At 52.3% G+C, this 25,521-nt stretch overlaps 1 protein-coding gene across 5 annotated transcripts, besides 2 other annotated features; it reads right to left on the bottom strand.

Annotated features, from left to right (window-relative positions):
• Positions 1-10,216, bottom strand: ANGPTL4 (angiopoietin like 4). Of its 5 annotated transcripts, none has more exons than XM_005272484.4 (7): positions 9,732-10,216; positions 8,307-8,417; positions 8,052-8,169; positions 5,039-5,152; positions 3,220-3,315; positions 2,849-3,130; positions 1-720 (listed from the first exon to the last, which is right to left on the bottom strand). In XM_005272484.4, the coding sequence occupies exons 1-7, from the start codon at positions 10,047-10,049 to the stop codon at positions 485-487; spliced, it is 1,275 nt and encodes a 424-aa protein (XP_005272541.1). In that variant the 5' UTR covers positions 10,050-10,216; the 3' UTR covers positions 1-484. The 5 variants fall into 5 exon arrangements, 4 of the variants coding, with proteins under 4 accessions (XP_005272541.1, NP_647475.1, XP_005272542.1 ...); NM_139314.3 differs by having other exon boundaries at positions 1-666; XM_005272485.4 differs by lacking the exon at positions 5,039-5,152.
• Positions 10,550-10,599: an enhancer, noted in NCBI's record as "active region_13914". NCBI's record gives its function as "activates an Ori minimal core promoter by ATAC-STARR-seq in GM12878 lymphoblastoid cells {active_cell/tissue: GM12878}" and the evidence as "EXISTENCE:reporter gene assay evidence [ECO:0000049][PMID:35858748]".
• Positions 20,163-20,242: an enhancer, noted in NCBI's record as "active region_13913". NCBI's record gives its function as "activates an Ori minimal core promoter by ATAC-STARR-seq in GM12878 lymphoblastoid cells {active_cell/tissue: GM12878}" and the evidence as "EXISTENCE:reporter gene assay evidence [ECO:0000049][PMID:35858748]".

Below are 25,521 nucleotides of genomic sequence, written 5' to 3'. Positions count from 1 at the left end.
TGTTCTGAGGTTGCTTTTATTCCAAGAACTCTGTGAGCTCCGCCCAGATACCATTGGCGCCTGCTTGTGTCCCCAGGGGACCTACACACAACAGCACCAGCACCATGAGGGCGCTCTCGACCCACACAAGCCCTGGTCCCCGTCAGTCAATGTGACTGAGTCCGCCATTGAGGCCAGTCTGGCTGGCCCCAAGTGGTCCCTCTGAGTCCCCAACTCCCTGGCCAGCAAGGAGTGAAGCTCCATGCCCCTTGGTCCACGCCTCTAGAGTCTGAGCATATCCTGCAGCCTCGATCTCAGGAGGCAACGCATGCAGCCCCCCTGCACTCAGAAAGGGGGCTTCTCCAGTCGTGGTCTTCTTCTCTGTCCACAAGTTTCCAGATGGCCCCTCCTTGGAGCCCCTGCCCAGGCAGGGAACGGCCACATCCTCGGGCAGAGCCAAGAGTCACCGTCTTTCGTGGGCCTGGGACCAGGCCCAGCCAGGACGCTAGGAGGCTGCCTCTGCTGCCATGGGCTGGATCAACATGGTGGTGGCCTGCAGCGGGTAGTAGCGGCCCCGCCAGGTCTTCCAGAAGATTCCCTTCTTAAGCTTCTGCCGCTGCTGTGGGATGGAGCGGAAGTACTGGCCGTTGAGGTTGGAATGGCTGCAGGTGCCAAACCACCAGCCTCCTGCCGGGGTCAGGGGAGAGGGAACATGGTCAGGTCTTTGAGCCACCGATGGGGCTGAAAGGAGATAGGGATAGGGTTGAGGATGAGGCAGGTTGGGGACCAGGCTGGGCTTTGGACTTGACTTTTTTTTTTTTGAGATTGAGTCTTACTCTGTCACCCAGGCTGGAGTGCAGTGGTGCGATCTCAGCTCACTGCAACCTCCGTCTCTCAGGTTTAAGTGATTCTCCTCCCTCAGCCTCCCGAGTAGCTGGGATTACAGGCGCCTGCCACCACACCTGGCTAATTTTTGGTCTTTTTTTTTGAGACTGAGTCTCACTCTATCTCCCAGGCTGGAGTGCAGTGGCACAATCTCGGCTCACTGCACCTCTGCCTCCCAGGTTCAAGGGATTCTCATGCCTCAGCCTCCTGAGTAGCCGGGATTACAGGCACCCGCCACCACGCCTGGCTAGTTTTTGTATTTTTAGTAGTGAGGGGGTTTCACCATGTTGGCCAGGTTGGTCTCAAACTCCTTACCTCATGTGATCCACCCTCCTCAGCCTCCCAAAGTGCTGGGATTACAGGTATGACCCACTGCGCCTGGCCTAATTTTTGTATTTTTAGTAGAGACAGGGTTTCACCATGTTGGCCAGGCTAGTTTTGAACTCCTGACCTCAGGTGATCCACCCACCTCGGCCTCCCAAAGTGCTGGGATTACAGGTGTGAGCCCCCACACCCGGCCTTATTTTTAAGTTTAAAAACAATTTTTTTTGAGACAGGGCCTGGCTCCATTGCCCAGGCTGGAGTGCAGTGGTGTGGTGATGGCTCAATGCAGCGTCAACCTTACGGGCTCAAGTGATTCTTGTACCTGGGCCTCCCAAGTAGCTGGGACCACAGGTGTGAGCCACCATGCCTGCATTTTTTCTTTTTCTTTTGAGGCAGGGGTCTCACTCTGTCACCCAGGCTTGAGTGCAGTGGCGCAGTCTCAGCTCACTGCAGCCTTATCTCCTAGGCTCAAGAGATCCTCCCAACTCAGCCTCCCAAGTAGATGGGAACACAGGCAGGCACCACCATGCCCAGCTAGTTTTTTGTATTTTTAATTGAGACAGGATTTCGCCCTGTTGCTCAGATTGGTCTCCTGGGCTCAAGTGATCCACTCGCTTCAGCCTCCCAAAGTGCTGGGATTGCAAGTGTGAGCCACCGTGCCTAATTTTTTTTTTTTTTTGAGAATTGCTTGAACCCGGGAGGTGGAGGTTGCAGTGAGCCGAGATCGCACCACTGCACTCCAGCTTAGGCAACAGAGTGAGACCCTGTTTCAAAAAAAAAAAAAAAAAAAGAATCCTGTGGAGCACCATTATAAAGATGTTTGTGGCCGGGTATTGTGGCTCACGCCTGTAATCCCAACACTTTGGGAGGCCGAGGTGGGCAGATCACTTGAGGTCAGGAGTTCAAGACCACCCTGGCCAACATGGTGAAACCCCGTCTCTACTAAAAATACAAAACAATTATCTGTGCATGGTGGCGGGAACCTGTAATCCCAGCTACTCAGGAGGCTGAGGCAGGAGAATCACTTGAACCCAGGAGGCGGAGGCTGCAGTGAGCCAAGATCACGTCACTTGCACTCCAGCCTGGGAGACACAGCGGGACTCTGTCTCAAAAAATAAATAAGTAGGCCGGGCGCGGTGGCTCACGCCTGTAATCCCAGCACTTTGGGAGGCTGAGGCAGGCAGATCACGAGGTCAGGAGATCGAGACCATCCTGGCTAACACGGTGAAACCCCATCTCTACTAAAAATACAAAAAAATTAGCCAGGCGTGGTGGTGGGCACCTATAGTCCCAGCTACTCGGGAGGCTGAGGCAGGAGAATGGTGTGAACTCAGGAGGTGGAGCTTGCAGTGAGCCAAGATCGTGCCACAAAGCACTCCAGCCTGGGTGACAAAGTGAGACTCCGTCTCAAAAAATAAATACATAAATAAATAAATAAACAAACACATAAGTAAATAAAAGTAAAGACGGTCAAGACCCTTTTCAGGATGGGAAAACTGAGGCCAGATAGGCTAAGTTAGTGGCCCAATCACACACACGGCATGTAAGGAAGAGGTGGGGGCAGGAAACAGATGCAATGTGGGGTTGAAGGCAGGACAGAGCAGCAGAAAGATAAGGAGGGAAGCTGCTGGCTGGGTGTGGCATGGCAGGGCCTGCTCACCAGAGAGGCTCTTGGCGCAGTTCTTGTCCCTGCGGAGGTCGTGATCCTGGTCCCAAGTGGAGAAGGGTACGGAGAGGCCGCTGGGTGGGACGGTGGTGGCGCCCAGCTGGCCGGCCACGGGTGCAGTGAGCTGCAGGCTATAGGCCGTGTCCTCGCCACCCAGGTGCACGGAGAACTGCAGCAACTCGGCGTTGCCATCCCAGTCCCGCAGCTGCACGGCCAGGCGGCTGTTGCGGTCCCCCGTGATGCTATGCACCTTCTCCAGACCCAGCCAGAACTCGCCTGGAGTGGGAGAGGCCACTCCATGAGGCAGGGCCACTTCTGAGGGTCCCTCTTCCTCCCCTGCCTCTGTCCCCACTAGAAACACCTACCGTGGGGATCCCCAAACCCCGCCTTGTAGGCTTCCCAGGGCCGGTTGAAGTCCACTGAGCCATCGTGGCGCCTCTGAATTACTGTCCAGCCTCCATCTGCCCAGAAAGGTACAAGGTCACCAGGAAGTCCCTCTTCACAGACGACCCCACTCCCTCATCTGGCTGCCAAGCACCAAACCCCCTCCAAACCCAGGAAGACAGCAGCTCCCTCACTCATCCCTGGAGGACTCGAGGAGGGTGGGTCAGAGGGAGGAATATTATGGGCTGGCCTTGGGAAGATCTTTGTCCCAAGAACCCAGCAGGGACTGAGTGTGGGAGGGAGTAGGCAGTGGAAATCTGCAAAGCCTCTCTGGGCCAGCTGAACTGGGTAAAACCCCGTGTTGTAACCTCTTGTAATGGAAAGGACTTCTCAGTGGAAAAAAAAGCTTTCTTTTTTTTTTTTTTTTTTTTTAGAGATGGAGTCTCACTCTGTTGCCCAGGCTGGATCGCAGTGCCGCAATCTCAGCTCACTGCAACCTCTGCCTTCGGGGCTCAAGCGATTCTTGTGCTTCAGCCCCACAAGCAGCTGGAATCACAGGCACGCCCGGCTAATGTTTATGTTGGTAGAGATAGGGTTTCACCATGTTGGCCAGGCTGGTCTTGAACTTCTGACCTCAAGTGATTTGCCCGCCTCAGCCTCCCAAAGTGCTGGCATTTCAGGTGTAAGCCACCGTGCTCAGCCTTTGTTTTTTTTTAGAAACGAGGTTTTGTTGTGTTGCCCAGGTTGGAGTGCGGTGGCTATTCACAGGTGTGATCACGGCTCACGGCAGCCTTTAACTCCTGGGCTGAAGTGACCCTCCTGCCTTGGCCTCCCGAGTAGCTGGGACTACAGGCATGTGCCACCATGCCCAGCAAGGGCTGAATTTTATTTTATTTTATTTTATTTTCTCTTTTTTATTTTTTTGATGGGGGGACGGAGTCTCGCTCTGTCGCCCAGGCTGGAGTGCGGTGGCGTCATCTCAGCTCACTGCAACCTCTGCCTCCCAGGTTCAAGAGATTCTCCTGCCTCAGCCACCTGAGTAGCTGGGATTACAGGTGCACACCACCATGCCCGGCTAATTTTTGTATTTTTAGTAGAGACGGGGTTTCACCATGTTGGTCAGGCTGGTCTCGAACTCCTGACCTCGTGATCTGTCTGCCTCAACCTCCCAAAGTGCTGGGATTACAGGTGTGAGCCACTGCACTTGGCCTTTTTTTTTACTTTTACAAAATTTTTTGTAAAGATGAGCTCTCACTATGTTGTCCAGGCTGGTCTCGAACTTCTGGGCTCAAGTGATCCTCATGATAGGCCTCCCAAAGTGTCGGGATTACAGATATGAGCCACTACACCCAGACAAGGGCTGCATTTTAAAGAAAAGAGGCCAGGAGCAGTGGCTAATGCCTATAATCCCAGCATTTTGGGAGGCCAAAGTCGGCAAATCATTTGAGGTCAGGAGTTTGAGACCAGCCAGACCAACATGGTGAAACCCAGTCTCTACTAAAAATACAAAAATTAGCTGGGTGTGGTTGCTCGCACCTGTAGTCTCAGCTACTGGGGAGGCTGACGCTGGAGAATTGCTTGAACCCGGGAGGCGGAGGTTTCAGTGAGCTGAGATCGTGGCATTGCACTCCAGCTCCAAGAGCAAAACTCCATCTCAAAAAAAAAAAAAAAAAAAAAGACCAGCTTGGGCAACATAGCAAGACCCTGCCTTTAATTTTTTTGTTTTGTTTTGTTTTCAATTTAAAGAAAGACAACAGGGCCTATGGGGAGAGGGGCCCCTGGTGGACTAACACACCCTACCTGAGGTCATCTTGCAGTTCACCAAAAATGGCGGAGACCCCTGAGGCTGGATTTCAAATAGTCCACTCTGCCTCTCCCCAACCTGGAACAGCTCCTGGCAATCCCTGGGCAGCCCTGAAGGGAGATAAAGTGGAGACTTGAAACAGGAGGGCAGCCCCTGGGGGGGGTCTCAGGAGCCAGGCATATCTGGGGGCTTAACAGTGGATGACCAGGGAAGTAAAAGGCAAATCTTATCTCATGACCACCTCTCTGCCATCTGCCTAACCTCTTCCATGGCTCCCTATGTCCTTCCTCAGCATGGTCCACAAGGCACCTGGAGGACCAGCCCCCGTGCCCATCCTCCTCCTGCCATGCTGTACCCACACCCTCTCTGGCACACAGGCTTTCTTCCCACCCTTGTACCACACACCGTCCTGCCACAGGGACTTTGCACATGCTGTTCCCCCTGCCTGGGACTCTCTTTTTTTGTTTTGTTTTTTGATACGGAGTCTCGCTCTGTCGCCAGGCTGGAGTGCAGTGGCGCAATCTTGGCTCACTGCAACCTCCGCCTCCCAGGTTCAAGCAATTCTGCCGCAGCCTCCGGAGCAGCTGGGACTACAGGCATGTGCCACCACGCCCGACTAGTTTTTGCATTATTTGTAGAGACGGGGGTTTCACCATGTTGGCCAGACTGGTCTCGATCTCCTGACCTCGTGATCCGCCAGCCTTGGCCTCCCAAAGTGCTGGGATTACAGGTGTGAACCACTGCGCCCGGCGGGACTCTCTTTCCTCACTTCTCTCTCTGGGTCCCAGCTTCTGGAAGGACACCCTGCCTTGCCTCACCCCCAGACCAGGCCAGAACACCCCAAATGGGAATTGAGCAAGGACTTCCCACTCCTGGACACTGAGGTCATCTAATGGTCTCTCCTCTGACTCAATGGAGGCTCCATGAGGCTGGGGACAAGGAGCAGCTCTGCCCACAGCCTGGCACCAGCATCCACGCAGGCCCCAGCGCATAGCAGCTGCTCAATAAAGACTTGAGGAATGGGCCGGGCGCAGTGGTTCATGCCTGTAATCCAGCACTTTGGGAGGCGGGCGGATCGGTCAGGAGTTTGAGACCAGCCTGGTCAACATGGCCAAACCCCATCTCTAGTAAAACATACAAAGATTAGCTGGGTGTGATGGTGGACGCCAGTAATCCCAGCTCCTTAGGAGGCAGAGGCAGGAGAATCACTTGAACCCGGGAGGCAGAGGTTGCAGTCAGCTGAGGTTGAACCATTGCACTCCAACCTGGGTGACAGAGTGAGACTCTGTCTCAAAAAAAAAAAAGACTTGATAAATGAATAAAAATTAGCTGGGCGTGGTGGCGGTAGGCGCCTATAATCCCATCTACTTGAGAGGCTGAGGCAGGAGAATCACTTGAACCCAGTGGGAGGCAGAGGTTGCAGTGAGCTGAGATTGCGCCACTGCACTCCAGCCTGGACAACAGAGCGAGACTCCGTCTCAAAAAGCAAACAAAACAGTCTTGACAAATGAATGAATGAATGAATGAATGAGGCAGCAGGTCCAGAACGGGAAGAACTGTGCTGAGCAGGAGCATCTCAGAGGCTCTGCCTGGGGTCCCAGCTCCTAGAGGGAGAGGAGGCAGGGTTGAGGAAAGAAAGAGGGAGGGAGGAGGGGAGGATGGCGTTGAGCACGTCTGGAGGCTCAGACGCTCCAGACTGGGAGGAACCGCCCCCAGCCCAGCCGGAAAAGTAGGGGAAAGGTCGAAATGAGTCTGCACGGTGGGGGTGGGGGCGGGCCCAGAGTGACCAGGAAGACGCTTTCCGGCCCCTCAGGCATCTCCCCTTTCCCCTACTTTCCTCCCATCCAGTAAGGATGGGCACGCGGCCAAACCACCAGTGTGGCTTCCATGAATGCCAGCTGTTCGCCTTCCCAGCTCTGAACTTTCTCCTACTTGGCGGGCCTGAGCCAAGAGTCTGGGAGTCCCGAACCCACAGAACCCCTGCCCCCTTCCACCGCATTTCCCAGCCAGGACTTGTGCCTTCCCCCGTCACCCTCCAGAAGCCCCTCATCCTGGGATGGTGGCTTTGGGAGGGTGGACAGGACCCTGACCACGCTGAGATGCTAGCCTGGCGGGGTTGGGGGCGGGCAGCACGGAGGTGGGAAGGAGCGGGAGCTTGGGGAGGAGAGAACCCTCAGGTCTACAGTGCTGGAAGCCTGCCACTGACCCTAGGGTGTGAGAGGGGGATCCAAACTTTCACCCAGTTGGCTGTGGACAGCCACAGATGCAGGGAAGGATGAGGACCACAGAGAAACCGTGTGGGGCCGTGAACTTAGAGAACCGCGAGTCTGCATCGGACACACGTGGACATGCTGTGGTTCGAGATGAACGGAGATTTGGGAATAAAGCACCTACAACTTGTGGTGGCAGCAAAAGCCCACTTTCTGCGGTGGGGAGGGGGCCGGCGGGGGCGGGGAGGGAGGAGGAGAACAAGAGAGGAAGGAGGAAGAGGGGTCAGGGACCTGGAGCATTGGATTTGTAAGATACAAGAGTGTTTCTGGTCTGGGAGCTGGGGGTTCCCAGCCCTAATTCCCACATACCCCAAGACATTGTGGAGGGCCCAAATCTACAAACACTACTACCTGGCACCCCCTCCTCCATGACACCCTCCCCTAGAAGGTTCTAACCTTCAGGATGGCACCCCGAACCCCATTTCTACCTTCTCCAGCACCCCTGCAGCTCAAGTCCCTCAAGACCTCTTTCTCCACCTCTGTTCCAATCAGTGATCAGCAGGGCTTCAGGGACAGCCCACTGGCTTGCAGAGGAGAAGGGTTGGGTGGCCTGGCTGGGCCAGGTCAGGGCTGAGGAAGGAGGTGCTCCCATCAGCTTTGACCCAGAGACTGGTGAGCCCTCAGGGACTCCAGGCCAGGACATCTTCTCCTTAAGGTGGACCTGACAAGGAGAGGACCAGCAATGGCAAGTGGCGGGGTAGGGGTGGCCACCGGAGAGCATCGAGGGGCAGACACTCACGGTGCAGGCGGCTGACATTGTGAGCCGGGTCAACTGGCTGGGCCATCTCGGGCAGCCTCTTTCTTCGGGCAGGCTTGGCCACCTCATGGTCTAGGTGCTTGTGGTCCAGGAGGCCAAACTAGGATGGGACGGGAGGAGGGTGTCAGGTCCTGCCTGGCCCCACGTCCCCAGCCACACGTCCAGTTCTCACCACCTCCCTCTCAACCTGGGGTCCAGCTATCAGAGGGACCTTTTCTCCCTTGATCCTAGGGTTACCTGGCTTTGCAGATGCTGAATTCGCAGGTGCTGCTTCTCCAGGTGCCGCTGCTGCTGGGCCACCTTGTGGAAGAGTTGCTGGATCCTGCTGTTCTGAGCCTTGAGTTGTGTCTGGGGAGGGGTGAAAACCTTGGTGAGGACCCAGCTTGCCTACCCCAACCTCTTAATTCATCCACTCATCCATCCTTCCAAATCTCCATCCGCTGAGGCCAGGCAAGGGAGTCTTTCTTTTTTCTTTTTTTTCCCAATGACGGGGTCTCGTTCTCTCGCCCAGGCTGGAGTGCAGTGGTGCTGTCACAGCTCACTGCAGCCTCCAACTCCTGGGGTCAGGCGATCCTCCTGTTTTCAGCCTCCTGTGTAGCTGGGACTACAGTCATGCAGCTCTATGCCTGGCTTATTTTTTATTTTTTCAGACAGAGTCTCGCTCTGTCACCCAGGTTGGAGTGCAGTGGCGCAATCTTGGCTCACTGCAACCTCTGCCTCCCAGACTCAAGTGATTCTTGTGTCTCAGCCTCCCAAGTAGCTGCCACCACACCTGGCTAATTTTTGTATTTGTATTTTATTTTATTTATTATTATTATTATTTTGAGATGGAGTCGAGCTCTGTCGCCCAGGCTGGAGTGCAATGGCATGATCCCGGCTCACTGCAACCTCCGCCTCCCGGGTTCAAGAGGTTCTCCTGCCTCAGCCTCCCCAGTAGCTGGGATTACAGGCGCCCACCACCACACCCAGCTAATTTTTGTATTTTTAGTAGAGACGGGGTTTCACTGTGTTGGTCAGGCTGGTCTTGAACTCCTGACCTCAGGTGATCCACTGGCCTCGCCCTCCCAAAGTGCTGGGACTACAAGCGTGAGTCACCGCACCTGGCTTTATTTTTATTTTATCGCTATTATTTTTTTGAGGAGTCTCACTCTGTTGCCCAGGCTGGAGTGCAGTGCTGCGATCTCGGCTCACTGCAACCTCTGCCTCCCGGGTTCAAGAGATTCTCCTGCCTCAGCCTCCCAAGTAGCTGGGATTACAGGCATGCACACCATGCCAGGCTAATTTTTTGTATTTTTAGTAGAGACGAGGTTTCTCCATGTTGGCCAGGCTAGTCTCGACAGCAGGTGGAGGCTCCGTGAGCCACTGCGCCCGGTCGTTTTTTAATTTTATATTTATTTTATTTTATTTTATTTATTTTGTGTGTGTGTGTGTGTGTGTGTAGAAGAGACGGGGGTCTCGCTATTTTGCTTTAGGTGGTCTTGAATTCCTGGCCTTGAGCGAACCTCCCTCCTCGGCTTCCTAAGGGGGGAGCCCATCCCTTGACGCAGGGAAGCCCAGGGAGCCACAGTTGCGCACCCCGCCCCCACGCCCCACTCCTGTCCATACCCTTCCAAGCCAGGAGAGCCACTAGGGGCGCGGAGAACCAGCCCTGGGGACACGTACCTGCAGGCTGTGAAGGACCTCAGGGTCCACCCGGCTCTCAGGGGCTAACGGGAGGTCGGTGGACCCCTCGGTTCCCTGACAGGCGGACCCGCACGCGCTCAGGCGCCGCTCCAGCGCGCTCAGCTGACTGCGGGTGCGCTCCGCGTGTTCGCGCAGCCCCTGGCCGAGCTGCAGGAGTCCGTGCGCCAGGACATTCATCTCGTCCCAGGACGCAAAGCGCGGCGACTTGGACTGCACGGGTCCGCCCTGAGCGCTCAGTAGCACGGCGGTGGCGGCGCAGAGCATCAGGGCTGCCCCGGCCGTCGGAGCACCGCTCATCCTCTTAGGTAGCCTGGGAGCGGGGATTCGGGGACTCTCGGGGACGTTGGGGTTCCAGGTGCGAGGACTGGAGACGCGGAGGACCGGGGGTAAGACCCGCTTGGTTGCAGAAGCCGCTGGAAAGAATCGGATCACAGTCGTGTGAGGATCCGCTCAGCTCGGCTTCTCCCCGCCGCGCCCGAGGACGGTTTTTATAAGTTGGGTGCGGAGTGGGCGGAGGAGTCTTGGAGGCGGGGTGCGGGGAGTGCTGGGGGCAGGGCCTGTGGCCGGGGGTGGGGTCCTGTCCTCTGGAGGCCTGGTAGTCTGCGGGCTGGGGGATGCCCTGGGGATGCCAAACTGTGGCTCTCCCGCCCCCGCTCCAGGCTCAGGCAGGCCTTCCTCTACGAACCGTGGGAGACGTGACTCTTCTTTCCCCCACGGTGCCCGCCTCTAGTGTGAAATTGCAAGCCCCCTATTCCGCCCCCGCCTTACCCAGTGGCGGAGAGGGCGCACGCTTGAGGTCAAGACTTCCAGACCAGCCCGGCCAACATCGTGAAACCCAGTCTCTACTAAAAATACAAAAAAAAATTAGCCGGGCTTGGTAGTGCGCGCCTGTAGTCCCAGCTACTCGGGAGGCTGAGGCAGTAGAATCGCTTGAACCCGGGAGGTGGAGGTTGCAGTGCGCCGAGATGGCGCCATTGCGCTCCAGCCTGGGCGACAGAGCCAGAGTACGTCTCAAAATGAAAGAAGAGAAAAGAAAAGAAAAGAAAGAAAAGAGAGAGAAAGAAGGAAAGAAGGAAGGAAGGACGGAAAAAGAAAAGAGAGAGAGGTAGGGAGGGAGGGAAGAAGGAGAGAGAGAGAGAAAAGAGAGAGAGAAAGGAAAGAGAGAAAGAGGAAGGAAGGAAGGAGGGAAAGAAAGGAAGAAGGAAAGAAAGGAAGGAAAAGAAAAAGAGCTGAGTTCAGCGGAGCCCGGAACTCACCAAAAGTCCTTGCCTTGCGGAGGCTTCGTGTGACCTCCATCCCAAGACCAGGAGAGACTTTTCTGGGCTCGCATGTTCCTTCCCGTGAAAGGGTTCGTCATCGCAGCTGTGTTTATGAGATTCTTTGACTTCCATTTCTCCCCTGAGCCCGAAATTATGAGTGCCTTAGCGGCAGGACTTGGATCAGGGCCTCACCCCCATAGCCTACCCTCTACCGCCAGGGTCTTTAATGTCCTGAGCTTTGCCTATAATAAAGCAGGAACTTAGAGAACAGAAAGAGGAGACACAAGGAAGGGAGGAACCAGGGCGGTCGCCCATGACTGTGGTCGCAGCTACTTGGGAGCCTGAGGTGGGAGGCTCACTTGAGCCCAGGAGGTAGAGGCTGCAGTGAGCCACAATGGTGCCACTGCACTCCAGCCTGGGCAACAGAGTGAGATCCTGTCTCTAAAAAAGAAATAAAATAAAAGTCTGTGGCCAGGCGCGGTGGCTCACGCCTGTAATCCCAGCACTTTGGGAGGCCGGGTGGTGGGAGGGGGGGGGGGGCGGATCACCTGAGGTCAGGGGTTCGAGATCAGCCTGGCCAACATGGTGAAACCTCGTCTCTACTAAAAATAAAAAATTAGCCGGGTGTGGTGGCACGTGCTTACAGCTACTCGGGAGACTGTGTCAGGAGAATCGCTTGAACTCAGGAGACGGAGGTTGCAGTGAGCTGAGATTGCACCACAGCACTCCAGCCTGGGTGACAGAGTGAGACTGTGTGTCAAAAAAAAAAAAAAAAGTTTCAGACATGGAAGACCTTCCTCTTTCTCTCCCTCATTCATTCATTCACTCATGCACTGAACGAAGGTGCTGCTGCCCTCTAAGCCCAGCCCCTGTATGTTTGAAGTTCTCAGGCAGGTGGAGATACCCCAACATTCTGAGCCTGGGGTAGGGATAGAGTTGGGACAAAGGAAGTACTGAGTGAGGCTAAAGGGCTGGACCACATTCATTCCACAGGGCTAAGTGTTCATTCAAACTTGCACCGATCTCCTCTGCCTCTTCCCTACCCATTCCCCTATACCCTGTCAGGAAGGGGAGGCTGGCACAGAAAACCAGCCTGCCAGGAAGAACTCGGGGCAGGTTGGCTCAGAGCACTGGCAAGGAGAAGGGCATTGACTCAGCAGGGCTCCAAGCCAGCTCATTCTCTGGAATCTGAAACTGCACACCCAAGGGCTGACGTGCAGGCTGCCACTCATACACTTGGCCCCGTCAGCTGGGCCAGATGCCAGGACAGCAAATCCCTCCCAGCAGCAGTGGACAGGAAAGGGAGGGAGGAAAACCCCAGTGAGGAGTAGGTTCAGATGGTCACCGTCTGGCCTGTCCACCCCCAAGCCCCCAGCCTCTCTCTGAGTAGGGACACAGCTATCCCAGGCTATCCCAGAATGCAAGCTCCTCCTCTTCCCCACCTTCTTAAACTGAGAGAACTGATCAATTACTTCCCCAACCTGATGACCTTTTCATGATCTGATTTTCAGGGACTTCTTTGGAGCCATGTGTCCCACAGCACAAAACACATCACAGACCCAGGGTCTTAAGGGCACCTGCTGTGAGCAATCTACAAAAGAGTCTATACTGTCGCCTCAAGTTGGCTCTAGATTTTATTCTAAAAACTGCTCTTTATTTTTTATTTATTTATTTATTTATTTATTTATTTATTTATTTTTTGAGAAGGAGTCTCGCTCTGTCGCCCACGCTGGAGTGCAGTGGCGCAATCTCGGCTCACTGCAAGCTCCACCTCCCGGGTTAGTGCCATTCTCCTGCCTCAGCCTCCCGAGTAGCTGGGACTACAGGCACCTGCCACCATGCCCAGCTAATTTTTTGTATTTTTAATAGAGACAGGGTTTCACCATGTTAGCCAGGATGGTCTCGATCTCCTGACCTCGTGATCCGCCCGCTTCGGCCTCCCAAAGTGCTGGGATTACAGGCATGAGCCACCGCGCCCAGCCTATTTTTTATTTTATTTATTTATTTTTTTGAGATGGAGTTTCCCTCTTGTCGCCCAGGCTGGAGTGCAACGGCGCAATCTCCGCTCACTGCAACCTCTGCCTCCCAGGTTCAAGCGATTCTCCAGCCTCAGCCTCCCGAGTAGCGGGGATTACAGGTGTGCACCACCACACCTGACTAATTTTTTGTATTTTTAGTGCAAACGGGGTTTCACTATGTTGGCTCTGCTGGTCTCAAATTCCTGACCTCAGGTGATCCACCTGTCTCGGCCTCCCAACGTGCTGGGATTACAGGTGTGAGCCACTGTGCCTGGCCTAGCCTTTTTTTTTTTTTTTTTTTTGAGACAGAGTCTTGCTCTGTTGCCCAGGCTGGAGTGCAGTGGCCTCATCTCGGCTCACTGCAAGCTCCACCTCCCAGGTTCCCGCCATTCTCCTGCCTCAGCCTCCTGAGTAGCTGGGACTACAGGTGCCCACCACCACGCCCGCTAATTTTTTGTATTCTAGTAGAGGGGGTGGGGTTTCGCCATGTTGCCCAGGCTGGTCTCAAACTCCTAAGCTTAGGCTATCCACCACCTCAGCCTCCCAAAGTGCTAGGATTACAGGCATGAGCCACCACGCCCAGCCCTGTTTTATGTATTTTTTTTTTTTTTTCTGAGATGGGTCTCACTCACCCAGGCTGGAGTGCAGTGTCACAATCACAGCTCACCGCAACCTCAAACTCCCAGGCTCAAGTGATCCTCCCACCTCAGCCTCCCAAGCAGCTGGGACTATAGGCATGTGCCACCAGACCTGCCTAATTTCTGTAGATTTTGTAGAGACAGGATTTTTGCCGTGTTGCCCAGGCTGGTCTTGAACTCCTGAGCTCAAGGGATTCACTCGCCTCGGCCTCCCAAAGTGCTGGGATGACAGGTGTGAGTCACTGTGCCTGGCCAAAAACTGACCTTTAGAATGTGGCCTCTTACCCAGCAAAGACAAAGTCATCCTGATCAATTGTTCCTGGAGCACCTACTATATGCCAGGCACTGTACTGGGGCGATCACGGTGGGCAAGACCGGGTCTCCAATCCCAACGCGTGGGCTACTTTGGCCAACATAGTTAAAAATTGTTAAAATGACCAATTTTATATTATGTATATTTCTTTTTTTCTTTTTCTTTTTTTTCTTTTCTTTTCTTTTTTTTTTCTTTTTTTTGAGACAGAGTCTTGCTCTGTCGCCAAGGCTGGAGTGCAGTGGTGCAATCTCTGCTCACTGCAACTTCCACCTCCTGGGTTCAAATGATTCTCCTGCCTCAGCCTCCCGAGTAGCTGGGATTACAGGTGCCCACCACCACGCCTGGCTAATTTTTGTATTTTAGTAGAGACGGGGTTTCGCCATGTCCAGGCTGGTCTCTAACTCCTGACCTCAGGTGATCCGCCTACCTCGGCCTCCCAAAGTGCTGGGATTACAGGTATGAGCCACTGCGCCCAGCCTGTTATGTGTATTTCACTACAAATGTAAATGCCATTAAGCTAGGCAAGGTGGCTCATGCTTGTAATCCCAGTACTTTGGGAGGCCAAGGTGGGAGGACTGCTTGAGCCCAGGAGTTCAAGATTGGGTAACATGGCAAGACCCTGTCTGTACAAAAAATTTAAAAAATTAGCTGGGGCCAGGCTGGGCACGGTGGCTCATGCCTGTAATACCAGCACTTTGGGAGTCCAAGGTGGGCAGATCGTGAGGTCAGAAGTTCGAGACCAGCCTGACCAACATGGTGAAACCCGGTCTCTACTAAAAATGTAAAAATTAGCCAGGCGTGGAGGCGCGCGCCTGTAATCCCAGTTACTCGGGAGGCTGGGGCAGGAGAATCGCTGGAACCCGGGAGGCAGAGGGTGCAGTAAGCAGAGATTGCGCCACTGCACTCCAGCCTGGGCAACAGGGCGAGACTCTGTCTCAAAAAAAAAAAAAAATTAGCTGGGGCCCGGCATGGTGGCTCACACCTGTAATCCTAGCACTTTGGGAGGCTGAGGTGGGTGGATCACTTGAGTCTGGGAGTTCGAGACCAGCCTGGCCAGCATGGTGAAACCCCATCTCTACTAAAAATACAGAAATTAGCAGGCATGGTGGTGTGTGGCCGTAATCTCAGCTATTTGTGAGGCTGAGGTGGGAGATTCGCTTGAACCCAGGAGGTGGAGGCTGCAGTAAGCGGAGATCGTACCATTGCACTCCAGCTTGGGTGACAGAGCAAGACTCTGTCTCAAAAAAAAAAAAAATAGCTAGGCGTGGTGGCACATTCCTGTAGTATGAGCTACTTGGGAGGCTGAGGTGGGAGGATCATTTGAACCTGGGAAGTCGAGGCTCAAAGCTACAGTGAGCCAAGATTGCACCCCTGCACTCTAGCCTAGGGGACAGATCAAGACCCTGTATCCAAAAAATAAATAAACACACATAGAGACATAAAATATAAATATATATAATACACACAGAGACACATACATATGCAATACACATAAAGATATATATATACATATATGGAGAGAGCCACACTTACATACAGAGAGATACATATATATAACATACACAAACAGGCTGGGCAGGGTGTCTCACACCTGTAATCCTGACACTTTGGGAGACTGAAGTGGCAGGATTGCTTGAAATCAGGGATTTCAGACCAGCCTGGGTAACAAAGTGAGACCCCATCCCTCCAAAAAATAAAAGATTAGGGCTGGGCGTGGCGGCTCACGCCTGTAATCCTAGCACTTTGGGAGGCCGAGGCAGGCGGATCACCTGAGGTCAGGAGTTCAAGACCAGCCTGGCTGACATGGTGAAACCCCATTTCTACTGAAAATACAAAAAAAAATCAGCCGGGCATGGTGGCATCTGTAATCCCAGCTACTTGGGGGGCTGAGGCAGGAGAATCACTTGAACCCGGGAGGCAGAGGTTGCAGTGAGCCAAGATTGTGCCATTGTATTCCAGCCTGGGTGACAAGAGCGAAACTCCATCTCAAAATAAATAAATAAATATAAAAATAAAAAAATAAATAAAATAAAAAATTAGCCAGGTGTGGTGGTGCCTACCCGTACTCCCACACGTACTCAAGGAGGCCGATGCAAGAGGACAACTTAAGCTCAGGAGGTGGAAGCTGCAGTCTGCTATGATCGTACCATTGCACTCCCATTTGGGCATCAGAGTGAGACTCTGTCCCAAAAAAAAAAAAAAAAAAAAAAGAGGTCTGGCACGGTGGCTCAGGCCTGTAAACTCAGCTCCTCGGGAGGCTGAGGGAGGAGAATCGCTTGAACCTGGAAGGCAGAGGTGGCAGTGAGCTAAGACTGCGCCATTGAACTCCAGCCTGGGTGACAGAGCAAGACTCCATCTCAAAAAAAAAAAAGGCCGGGCGCGATGGCTCACGCCTGTAATCCCAGCACTTTGGGAGGCCGAGGCGGGTGGATCACGAGGTCAGGAGATCGAGACCATCCTGGCTAACATGGTGAAACCCCGTCTCTACTAAAAATACAAAAAATTAGCCAGGCGTGGTGGCAGGCACCTGTAGTCCCAGCTACTCAGGAGGCTGAGGCAGGAGAATGGCGTGAACCCAGGAGGTGGAGCTTGCAGTGAGCCGAGATGAGGCCACTGCACTCCAGCCTGGGCAACAGAGCGAGACTCTGTCTCAAAAACAAAAAAAACAAGAAACAAAACAACAACAACACACACACACGTATACGTAATACATAAGTGCATAAGTGCATAGATAGATAAAATACACTCACATAGAGACGTATTCTTATATATTTATATAATACACTCATGCAGGGTGAGATAATACACACTTTTTTGTACATCTTCTTTTTCTGACCCACTTAAGGATATATTGCACACATAACGTGTGCCTTTTGCCCTTTACTAAGAAAAAAAAGTGTTTATATAACCGTGGTACAGCTAGCAATTTCAGGAAATTTGACCCTGACATAGTACTGTTATCTAATCTATGGTCCATATTCCAGTTTCATCAATTGTGTCAAGCATGACCTGAACAGCTGTGGTTTGTGTTTCTGTTTGTTTTCCTTTGTTTTGGAGACAGGGTCTCACTCTGTCATTCAGGCTGGAGTGCAGTGGTGCGATTATAGCTCACTGCAGCCTCCAACTCCTGGGCTCAAGTGATCCTCCTGCCTCAGCCTCCTGAGCAGCTGGGACTACAGGCACATGCCACCACACCAGGCTAATTTTGGTATTTTTTGGTAGAGACAGGGTTTAGTTACATTGCCCAGGCTGGTCTCAAACTTGAACTCCTGAACTCAGGCGATCCTCCCACCCCGGCATCCCACAGACCTGGGATTACAGGCATGAGCCACTGTGCCTGGCCACAGCTGTTTTTTGTTTTGTTTTGTTTTTTTAAAAAAAACTGAGTCTCCCTCTTTTGCCCAGGCTGGAATGCAGTGGCATGATCTCAGCTCACCACAACCTCAGCCTCCTGGGTTCAAGCAATTCTCCTGCCTCAGCCTCCTGAGTAGCTGGGAATACAGGCACACGCCACCATGCCCAGCTAATTTTTGTATTTTTAGTAGAGATGGGGTTTCACTATGTTGGTCAGGCCGGTCTCGAACTCTGACCTCATGATCCTCCCGGATACACTATAATGTGCTAGGATTACAGGCGTAAGCCACCGCGCCCGGCCTCACAGCCATGTTTTTTATGAGCAGGACCCTATCCAGAATCATCCACTGCATTTCATTGTCATATCCTGTTGGTCCTTTTTTTTTTTTTTTTTAATCTGAGACAGGGTCGTTGTTATGTTGCCGAGGCTGGTCTCAAATCTGGACTCAAGCAATCTTCCTGCCTCAGCCTACTGAGTAACTGGGAATACAGGTGCATTCGCTATACCAGGCAGGGCACTGGCATTTTTTGAGACACGGTCTCACTTTGTCACCAAGGCTGGAGTGCAGCAGTGAGATCACAGCTCACTGCAGCCTCAACCTCCTGGGCTCAAGTGATCCTCCCACCTCAGCCTCCTGAGTAGCTGGGACAACAGGCATAAGCCACTATGCCTGGCCAAACACTGATATTTTCGAGATGTACACACCGGTTTTTTGTAGCACGTCCTCCATTTTGCATTTGTCTGATGCAGATGTTTCTTCCCCTTAAGGTGCCTGTTATGTATTTTTGGCAGTGATGTTGTGTCCTTCTCAGTGTATGATATCAGGAGGCACATGATATCTGTTTGCTCATTGGCACCATGAATGGTGCTAAGATTTAACTACATAAGTTGAATCCTAGATGGTCAATGCTGCAATGGGGTAAGCACACAGGCCTAGAAGAGTATAGAAAAGATGTCAATCCCATTAGGTAAGGATTCCTGGAGCAGGGGTCCTAAGACTGAGAGATGCTTGACAGAGTCCTAGACAAAGTGTACAGGAAATAGATGACTCAGGTTCAAGGAAGAGCATGAAAAATTCTCTCTGGCTTGAGACATGCAGGATTCTTCTCAGACAAGCCCACAAGGTTGTTAGGACTATGTAATGGCACATCGTGTCCAGTGACTGGCCTCTACCGCCCCCAGCAACTAACCACAGTCTTCCTGCCACACTGTACTCACATCCAGGTCACCAAGAAAGGTCAGCCCAAGAGCAGGACCTCAAACACTCAGGGCAGAAAGGATGACTCAGAATCTGGGCTGGTGCTCAGAAGGGAACGGGGTTGCCTTTCCACCCTCCCCTATTAGCTTTTCCCCATAATTCCTTCCAGTCTGGGAACTTGTACATTGCAGGGCAGACAGCTATGAAGTCACTAAGGAAATAATAACTGTAGCAGCGTACATTTATTTAGTGCCACCTTTACACCATCAGACACTTGTGTAATCCATTTTATCTCAACCTCAAGTCGGTCCCTGAAAGGAGATAAATTGAGCTTCTGAGACCTTTAGGAATTTGGACAAAGTCACACAGCTCAGAAGGGTCAAGATTTGAACCTAGGCCAGGCGTGGTGGCTCATGTCTGTAATTCCAGCAATTTGGGAGGCTGAGGTGGGCAGATTACCTGAGATCAGGAGTTTGAGACCAGCCAGGCCAACCTGGTGAAAACTTCTCTCTACTAAAAATACAAAATATTAGCTGGGCATGGTGGTGAGTGCTACCTCCCAGCTACTTGGGAGGCGGAGGCAGGAGAATCGCTCTAACCTAGGAGGCAGAGGCTGCAGTGAGCCAAGATCGCACAACTGCACTCCAGCCTGGGTGACAAAGCCAGAATCCATCTCAAAAAAAGAGATAAAAAAAAAGATTTGAACCTAGTTCTCTTTAGTTCCAAACCATTGAATCTCTCTTTCTGTCTTTTAAGACGGTGGCGGGGGAGGGCACGTGGGGTGGTGGTGGGATGTCTTGCTGTGTTGCCAAGGCTGGATTGGAACTACTGGGCCCAAGAAATCCTCCCATCTCAGCCTGCTCACTAGCTGGAATTAACGGTGCCCAAAACCGTGACCTCTTTTATTTTATTTTTCATTTAATTTTGTTGTTGTTTTGTTTTTGAGACGGAGTCTCACTCTGTCGCCCAGGCTGGAGTGCAGTGGCACTATCTCGGCTCACTGCAAGCTCCACCTCCTGGGTTCATGCCATTCGCCTGCCTCAGCCTCCCGAGTAGCTGGGATTACAGGTGCCCGCCACCAGGCCCAGCTAATTTTTTGTATTTTTAGTAGAGATGGGGTTTCACCGTGTTAGCCAGGATGGTCTTGATCTCCTGATCTCATGATCCGCCCGCCTCGGCCTCCCAAAGTGCTGGGATTACAGGCGTGAGCCACCGTACCTGGCCTATTTTTAAAGCTTGTCATTGTTTTGTAATTTACGATTTATTTATTTATTTATTTGAGACAGCGTCTTGTTCTGTCACCCAGGCTGGAGTGCAGTGGGGCGATCTCGACTTACTACTACCTATGCCTCCCAGCTTCAGGGGGTTCTTATGCCTCAGCCTCCTGAGTAGCTGGGATTACAGCTGCTGGCCACCATGCCCGGCTAATTTTTGTATTTCTAGCAGAGACTGGGTTTCACCATGTTGATCTTGAACTCCTGATCTCCAGTGATCCACCCGCCTCGGCCTTCCAAAGTGTTGGGATTACAGGCGTGAGCCATCGCGCCCAGCCTATTTTTATTTTTGGGAAATTATTTTTACAACAATAAGAAAAAGCTAGAGATAGATTCCCCCACTACCCCCCACCCCGAAAATTCCTTCTCTGTATATACCCGGTTTGACAACCGCGGCCCCGGGGGGTTTACCCTAGATAGCAGCGCCCTCTGGTGGTGAACTCGAGAGCAGCTGTTCTGGCCGCTCAGACGCGCTCCTTTCCCGCTGATCCCAGGCGCCTGAGAGGAAGTTCAAGGCCTCCTGGCGGCTGCCCGCCCGCTGTGGGAGGCTCGAGAAGACTGAGTAAATCAAGGGGGAAGTGGAGATGATGACGACGATGATGATTTTTGAGACAGAGTCTCGCTCTGTCGCCCAGGCTGGAGTACAGTGGCGCGATCTCGGCTCACTGCAACCTACACCTCCCGGGTTCAGGGGATTCTCCTGCCTTGGCCTCCCAAGTAGCTGGGACTACAGGCGCACGCCACCACACCCGACTAACTTTTGTATTTGTAGTAGAGATGAGGTTTCACCATGTTGGCCAGGCTGGTCTCAAACTCCTGACTTCAAGTGATCCACCCGCTTCAGCCTCCCAAATTGCTGGGATTATAGGCGTGAGCCACTGCACCCCGGTTGAGACAGTCTTGCTCTTGGCCCAGGCTGCAGTGCAGTGGCGTGATCATAGCTTACTGTAGCCTCAAATTCCTGGGCTCAATCAATTCTGCCATCTCAGCATCCTGAGTAGCTGGGACTACGGGAACATGCTACCATCCCCAGCTAATTTTTAAAAATGTCTGCTGGGTGCAGTGGCTCATGCCTGTAATCCCAGCACTTTGGGAGGTCGAGGCGGGTGGATTACGAGGTCAGCAGATGGAGACCATCCTGGCTAATGCGGTGAAACCCCATCTCTACTAAAAATACAAAAAATTAGCCAGGCATGGTGGCAGGTGCCTGTAATCCCAGCTACTAGGGAGGCTGAGGCAGGGGAATTGCTTGAACCCTGGAGGCGGAGCTTGCAGTGAGCCGAGATTGCGCCACTGCACTCCAGCCTGGGCGACAGAGCAAGACTCTGTCTCAAAAATAAATAAATAAATTTTCTAGAGACAGGGTCTTGCTTTGTTGCCCAGGCTGGTCTCAAACTCTCAGCCTCAAGCAATTCTCCTGTCTTAGCCTCTCGAGGCACTAGGATTACAGGCATGCACACCACAACTGGCCAATGCTGTCTTTTGAAGCTCCTGACTGGGGCCAATTAGCTCTCATGTCAGGGGTGTCAATGTTCTGAGACAGGCCGGGCACAATGGCTCACGCCTGTAATCCCAGCATTTTGGGAGGCAGAGGTGGGCGGATCACCTGAGGTCAGGAATTTGAGACCAGCCTCGCCAACATGGTGAAACCCTGTCTCTACTAAAAATACAAACAATTAGCTGGGCTGATAGCAGGTGCCTGTAATCCCAGCTACTGGAGAGACTGAGGCTGAAGAATTGCTTGAATTCGGGAGGCGGAGCTTGCAGTGAGCTGAGATCGCGCCACTGTACTCCAGCCTTGGCGACAGAGCGAGACTGTCTCAAAAAAAAAAAAAAAAAAAAAAAAAAAACTGTTCAGAGACAGGCGCAGTCTCTCTGGGCAGTTAAGCATTCCAGATGGGGGCAGGGGTGCCTTGGAGTTTCCAGGAGGCCCCTAAAATGGCAAAGGAGCTGAAAGTGGCTCCCAAGGGGTTCAATGTATTCTGGAGTGCCCGGGAACCTCCTCCCTCTCTCTTTTCTTTTCTGACTCAAGCCTCAGCCTGGGACAGGGTGGGAGAGAGAAGGGTCACATTTTCTACCATGAACACCCAGGGTATTAGGAATGTGGGGGAGGAGGGAAGTTGTTTAAGAGGTCTAAGAGCATCTTCCTCACCCACGCAAGCAAAATTCCTTTTCTTTCTTTCTTTCTCTTTCCTTCTTTCTTTCTTTCTCTTTCTTTCTTTCTATTTCCGTCCCTCCCTCTCTCTCTTTCTTTCTTTTCTCCCCTCTTTCTCTCTTTCTTCCTTCCATCCTTCCCTCCCTCCCTCCTTTCTTCCTTTTTCTTTCCTTCTTTTTCTTTCTTTCTCTTTCCCTCCCTCCCTCTTTTTCTTTCTTCTTTTCCCCCCTTTCTCTCTTCCTTCCTTCCTTCCCTCCCTCCCTCCTTTCTTTCTTTCTTTCTTTCTTTCTTTCTTTGTCTCTCTTTTCTTTCTTTCTTTTTTTTTTGACAGAGTCTCGCTCTGTCACCCAGGCTGGAGTGCAGTGGCGCGATCTTCGCTCACTGAAACCTCTGCCTCAGCCTCCTGAGTAGCTGGGATTACAGGTGCACAGCACCATGCCCGGATACATTTTTTAGTTTTAGTACAGATGGGGTTTCGCCATGTTGGCCAGGCTGGTCTCCAACGCCTGACCTCAGGTGATCCGCCCACCTCAACCTCCCAAATTGCTGGGCATGCAGGCATGAGCCACCGTGCCCGGCCCCTTTTCTTTCTTATACCTCTCCCCACTGGCTAGCTAGGCAGGAATACTCTTCAGAAATTCTTGGTCTGCAGGGAGCTTGAAATCACCTTTCAATCTTTCCATTCAGTGAAAATTTATTGAGTGTCTACTGTGTGCTGAGCACCTGTGGTGGGATTCTGAGTAGCTGGGATTACAGGCGCCCACCACCACAGGCTGGAGTGCAATACTGCACTCTCAGCCCATTGCAACCTCTGCCTCCTGAGTTCAAGTGATTCTCCTGCCTCAGCCTCCTGAAGAGCTGGGATTACAGGCGCACGCCACAATGCCCAGCTAAATTTTGTTTTTTTTTTTTGAGACGGAGTCTCGCTCTGTCACCTAGGCTGGAGTGCAGTGGTGCGATCTTGGCTCACTGCAAACTCCGCCTCCCGGGTTCATGCCATTCTCCTGCCTCAGCCTCCTGAGTAGCTGGGACTACAGGCACCCGCCACCACGCCCGTCTAATTTTTTGTATTTTTAGTAGAGACGGGGTTTCACCGTGTTAGCCACGATGGTTTCAATCTCCTGACCTCGTGATCCGCCTGCCTTGGCCTCCCAAAGTGCTGGGACTACAGGCGTGAGCCACCGCGCCTGGCCAATTTTTGTATTTTCAGTAGAGACGAGGGTTTCAACATATTGGTCAGGCTGGTCTCGAACTCCTGAACTCAAGTGATCCGCCTGCCTCAGCCTCACAACATTCTGGGATTACAGGCATGAGCCACCACTCTGGCCGCAATTTCCAATCTCCTTTTCTCTCTCTCTGTCTCTCTCTCTCTCTCTCTCTCTCTCACACACACACACACACACACACAAACACACACCCCTCTGCTTCCATCATAACACCTTCTATAACTCTGACCCTCCTACCTTTCTCTTCTTTTTTATTTTGAGACAGAGTCTCTGTCTTTCAGGCTGAAGTGCAGTGGTGTGATCTTGGCTCACTGCAATCTCTGCTTCCTGGGTTCAAGAGAAGTGATTCTCATGCCTCAGCCTCTGGAGTAGCTGGGACTACAGGCATGCACCACCATGCCTGGCTAAATTTTTTGTGTGTTTTTAGTAGAGGAAGGGTTTCACCATGTTAGCCAGGCTGGTCTCGAACTCCTGGCTTCAAGTGATCTGTCCGCCTCAGCCTCCTAAAGTGCTGGGATTACAGGCGTGAGCCACTGTGCCAGCCATAATGATTTTATGTTATGAGACAGGGTCTCACTCTGTTGCCCAGGCTGCAGTACAGTGGCTCAATCATGGCTCACTGCAACTTCGACCTCCTGGGCTCAAGCGATCCTCCTGCCTCAGCTTCCCAATGTGCTGGGATTACCGGAATGTGTCACTGCACCTGGCCAATAATCAGGTTTTTATCTTGCCTTTCTTCTCTAAAAGTGTCACTGGAAAACCAGATAGTACATAAGAAGAAGTATCTTGCATAAAAAAAAAAAAAAGAATTCAACTAACAAATAAGGACGAAATGGCCAGGCGTGGTGGCACAAGCCTGTAATCCCAGCTACTAGGGAGGCTGAGGAAGGAGAATCACTTGAACCTGGGAGGCAGAGGTTGCAGTAAGCTGAGATTGTGCCACTGCACTCCAGCCTGGGTGACAGAGCGAGATTCCATCTCATAAAAAAAATTAAATAAGTAAATAAAGAAGGAAGAAACACAAGAGATATGACATCACTATTTTGTAATCTCTAAGGAGTTAATTCTCGATGGCTACTGGACTGAGGAAAGGAGGCACAGCCAAACATCACAAGCCTCCTAGTGAAAGAACAGAACGCCATCAGTAGTCATGTCAAAGTAATCAAATCTGAGTCTGACCCCAGTTCTAGAAGCAACCGCCAATTTGCAGGGAATACCAAGGACAGAAGAACATCCTGAACTAACTACACAATGAGTGTAGGATCAGCAACATTTAGACCATAGGAAACACTTCAGGACAAGCAGCCAATTGTGCGATCCTTTTTTTTTTTTTCCTTCCTTCCTTCCTTCCTTCCTTCCTTCCTTCCTTCCTTCCTTCCTTCCTTCCTTCTTTCCTTCCTCCTTCCCTTCCCCTCCCTTCCTCCCTTCCTCCCTTCCTCCCTTTCTCTCTTTCTCTCTTTCTTTCTTTCTTTCACAGGGTCTCACTCTGTTTCCCAGGCTGGAGTGCAGTGATGTGATCACAGCTCACTGCAGCCTTGATCACCTGGGCTCGAGCGATCCTCCCACCTCAGCCTCCCCAGTAGCTGGGACTACAGGTGCATGCCACCATACCCAGCTAATTTTTGTAGTTTTTGTAGAGATGGGGGGTCTCACTATATTGCCCAGGATAATCTCGAACTCCTGGGCTCAACCGTTCCTGCTGCCTCGGCCTCCCAAAGTGCTGGGATTACAGGTGTGAGGCACCATGCCCAGGCATGCAATGCTTCTATTGTAAGGGAAAGGGAGGGATGGAGAGGAACCTGTGAATTAAAAGAGGCTTAGGCCGGGCGCGGTGGCTCACACCTGTAATCCCAGCACTTTGGGAGTCCCAGGTGGGCAGATCACCTGAGATCGGGAGTTCCAGACCAGCCTGGCCAACATGGAGAAACTCCATCTCTACTAAAAATACAAAAATTAGCCGGACGTGGTGGCGCATGCCTGTAATCCCAGCTACTCAGGAGGCTGAGGCAGGAGAATCGCTTGAATCTAAGAGGCAGAGGTTGCAGTGAGCCAAGATTGCACCACTGGACTCCAGCCTGGGCAACAAGAGTGAAACTGCATCTCAAAAAAATAAAATTAAAAATAAATAAATAAATAAATAAACAGGCTTAGGCCGGGCGCGGTGGCTCGTGCCAGTAATCCCAACACTATGGGAGGCTGAGGCTGGTCGATCACAAGGTCAGGAGATCGAGACCATCCTGACCAACATGGTGAAACCCCATCTCTACTAAAATACAAAAAATTAGCTGGGCATGGTGGCTTGTGCCTGTAGTCCCAGCTGCTCTGGAGGCTGA

Source organism: Homo sapiens, chromosome 19, assembly GCF_000001405.40.
Source record: "Homo sapiens chromosome 19, GRCh38.p14 Primary Assembly".
NCBI lineage: Eukaryota > Metazoa > Chordata > Mammalia > Primates > Hominidae > Homo > Homo sapiens.
This window is presented reverse-complemented; position numbering and strand designations above follow the sequence as displayed.

Bases quoted from the DNA above. Each gene is read 5' to 3' on its own strand.
- ANGPTL4 (XM_005272484.4), bottom strand. From the start codon at position 10,049: ATGAGCGGTGCTCCGACGGCCGGGGCAGCCCTGATGCTCTGCGCCGCC. The intron at 8,170-8,306 runs GTAACCCTAGGA...GTCCCATCCTAG, and splicing joins TTCAGCATCTGCAAAGCCAG to TTTGGCCTCCTGGACCACAA. The intron at 3,131-3,219 runs GTAGGTGTTTCT...CTCCCACTCCAG, and splicing joins GGGGTTTGGGGATCCCCACG to GCGAGTTCTGGCTGGGTCTG.